Here is a 3,527-nt window from a genome sequence, read left to right as displayed (position 1 = left end):
TCTAGGGTGGGTACTGACAAGATTGCTCAAGCTGATTAGCATCTGAAGTGTCTACTTTGCCCATGGCACAGTCACCATCCTTGTTTGGCTAAATCTGGCAAGGGCTTGCTGCTCTGCTGCAGACCTATCTCTATCTTGCTATTTAAAGTGCAGGGCATAGTAACAAGCCTGTTGCCTAAGCTGATGACCAAGCAGGGAACCAGTGTTAGAATCTCTTTCTTGAAAATCCTTCCACCCCCTTCCTTGCTTTTGCCCTCCCTACAAGGCAAGTAATGCATGACTCTTGGGATTTTCCTCTCTTCCCACCTCCCTCGCCTGTTGCTAGGTAGACCAGAGGAATATAACACAAACTAAGTGATAGTATCACAGTGAGGAGCTATGAGAAACAAAAAGGTGGAAAGGAAATTGAAGTGTACTGTTGCCAAAAGTGAGCTACAGTTTCTTAATTGTGTGGGGATTATCTTGATCAAGTCTTGTGCTGAATCTTGCCACTGCATCTGTTTCAGAGGCCAGATTTTCCATAGCTCTCAATGATTTATTGCTCTTCGTGGTAAATGCACTGCAGTAATGAACAAAATGTAATGGACCATGTTGGCAAATGGCATAGCTTGTGACTGTCCTGCTTATGGTTTTCTAAATTCAGTGCAATGGTGTTCTGACCACTTAAGAAGCTTTAATTTCATTTTAAAAGATACATTATAATACTTTCTTGAATTTGTACATGTAAAAGCATACTAGGTAGCACATTCTCTCAGGTGCTTTTTGTCACTTGTTTAGCATGTAACACTCAAATATTCCCTAGTGTCCAGGCCAGAAGACAATTGGTGTTAATTTAGGTTTACCATAATTTTTGTGAATCCTACTGAAGAGTTTTGCAAATAAGGTAATGTGCTTATATCTAATATAAGTGTTCAATGGCTTGACTCATTTGTCAAATATTATTAAAGAATTGCTATAAAATATCTTTTTAGAAACTATAGAGCTTATGATTGGAATTTTGATAAAATGTCATGTTTTTCAAACTAGATTTTAAATTTTAAATCATCCCTTTTAACATTATTTAAAATAATTTTCTCTGAAGTCCAAGTTGAAACAAAAAGTCATTGGAGTCAGACATGACAGTGTTTAAATTAGGCTCTGCCATTTACAGACAGAGGCTACATGGTCAACCTCTGTGTACTTCGGTTCCCTCATCTATAAAATGGGGATAGTAATCACTGTCACGTAGAAAAGCTTTGAGAATTATTTAAAGACTATGTGAGATGCTCAGAAGAGCACCCTGCCCACTGCACTCAGACCTTCTGTTACAGCCACCATTGGCTCTTGCGGGACTTGGATGGCACTGCTGACCTCAATTCTTCATCCTCCCTGGGTCTCTGCTCTTTGCCACGTGACTTGCAGTTTTTTTTTCCTTTCTTTCTTTTCTTTTTCTTTTTCTTTTTCTTTTTCTTTTTTTTTTTTTTTACTACAGAGCTAGAGCTCATTGCCCTCTCTTCCATCCTAGTTCAGTCACATGACTGGCATCAGCAAATGGGACATATAGAGGCCTGAAAAAGCATGTATGTGTTTTCATTTTCTGTATTGATTCTCTCCTTTCCCTACCCCCTATGAGAAAGATTGGAGGATGGAATGAAGAGGGGCCAGGCTGTCCCAGCCATTCCAGGAGAGGCCATCCTAGAACAGCTGGACTTCGGCCTACTGCTAGGCATGGGTTGTTAGTCCAGCTGGGACCAGTCTAAATCACTGCTCAGCACAATTGGAAGCTATTGCATGCTGATTGTCTTAAGCCACTGCATTTTGTGGTGGTTTGTTCGGCAGCCTATTGTGCCAATAAATAATAGATACAGCCATGAGCAATTCTTGGTTTGAATTTGTGGCACCAATCTTCTTATGGGTGTATGGTTTATCTTCCCAGCTAGATTTATATCTCTTTGTTTTTTCTACAAGACAAGCTTCTTTTTATCATACTTTGTGATTGTAGGTACTCAACAAATGTTTCTCAGCAAATGATAATATATTTGTCTATTAATGGAATCAGCTGTGGCCTTCTGCCAAACATACTTAGACTTAATTTTCAGCTCTGTTATTATTATTATAATTATTAATTATTTTGAGACAGAGTCTTGCTCTGTTGCCCAGGCTGGAGTGTAGTGATGTGGTCTTGGCACACTACAGCCTCAACCTCCTGGGCTCAAGCGATCCTCCTACCTCAGCCCTGCACTTCCACCCCCAGTAGCTGGAACTACAGGCATGTGCCACCACACCTGGCTAATTAAATTTTTTCTTTTTTTGTAGAGACGAGATTTCACTACGTGACCCAGGCTGGTCTCAAACCCCTGGGCTCAAGCGATCTTCCCACCTTGGCCTCCCAAAGTGCTAGGATTACAGGTGTGAGCCACCATCCCCAGCCTGTTGTTTGAGTGATATTGAAGAGATTTTTCTAATATCTCTGATATTGTTTCCTTACCTACATATGCAAATAATAATAATAATGATAATAGTGTTTTTTAAATTAAGTGAGCTAATGTGTACAAAAAACCAGAGTAGGCACTTATAAAAGCAAAAATGTGAGTGGCTTCTATGGATTCCAACAAATGGGCTTGAGAGCTTATTTGGAAGTCCAAGCAGGGGATTGCTATTCCTTTATCTTTCATCAAAGACTGATGTTCCAACATTAGAAAATTAGTCTTTACAGCCTTGGTAAAGACATACTCAGATAGGTCAATTGGATCAACAGGGTGACAGATGCCCTGATCTATTCACCCCCACCATTTCTTAGCCACTCTCCTTCAATTTCCTTTCCATCCTCTCCACTTTCTCATCCCCAACACACCCAGTACCCTGCTATGGTCTGCTGGCTGCCTAGGTCCCTCCATGGAAGTTTTCTTCTGGGTGGAAAATGACCCATGCTTCTACTCTCTTACTCTTTCCCACCAAATTTCCTTCTTTTCAAATGCAGGTTACATATTCTGCTCATTCTGGAACATGCCAGAAGATGCTTGCGAGTCAACTTCTTTTTTTATGGTGGTAAAAGACACAAAACAGAAAACTTACTATTTTAACCTTTTTGAAGTGTACATTACAGTAGTGTTAACTACATGTACCTTGTTGGGCAACTTATCTCTAGAACTTTTTCATCTTGCAAAACTGACACTCTATACCCCTTGAACAACTCTCACTTCCCCCTCCCTTGTGGATTACCTTTTAAAGAACAGTTGCAATGCTGAGCAGGCATTAAATGTAGAGTGGCAGGTTCCTGGGGTTTCCTGCTTTGTTGGGCGGGCCTTTCCTCATTCCCTCTTGTTATAGTTCGGATATTTGTCCCCATCCAAATCTCATGTTGAATTGTAATCCCCAGTGCTGGAAGTGGGGCCTGGTGGGAGGTGTTTGGATCATGGGGGTAGAAATTTCATGGCTTGGCTTGGTGCTGTTTTTGTGATAGTGAGTTCTCCAGAGATCTGGTCAATTAAAAGTGTGTGGCACCTCCCCCCGCCACTCTCTCTCTCTCTCTCTCTCTCACTCTTGCT

General features: G+C 41.0%; 1 annotated feature.

Moving 5' to 3' along the window:
- Positions 3,219 to 3,268: an enhancer, noted in NCBI's record as "active region_13338". NCBI's record gives its function as "activates an Ori minimal core promoter by ATAC-STARR-seq in GM12878 lymphoblastoid cells {active_cell/tissue: GM12878}" and the evidence as "EXISTENCE:reporter gene assay evidence [ECO:0000049][PMID:35858748]".

The sequence above is a fragment of the Homo sapiens genome, chromosome 18, assembly GCF_000001405.40.
Source record: "Homo sapiens chromosome 18, GRCh38.p14 Primary Assembly".
Lineage (NCBI taxonomy): Eukaryota > Metazoa > Chordata > Mammalia > Primates > Hominidae > Homo > Homo sapiens.
Note: the sequence above shows the minus strand (reverse complement) of the source record. Positions and strands in the feature narration are given on the sequence as shown.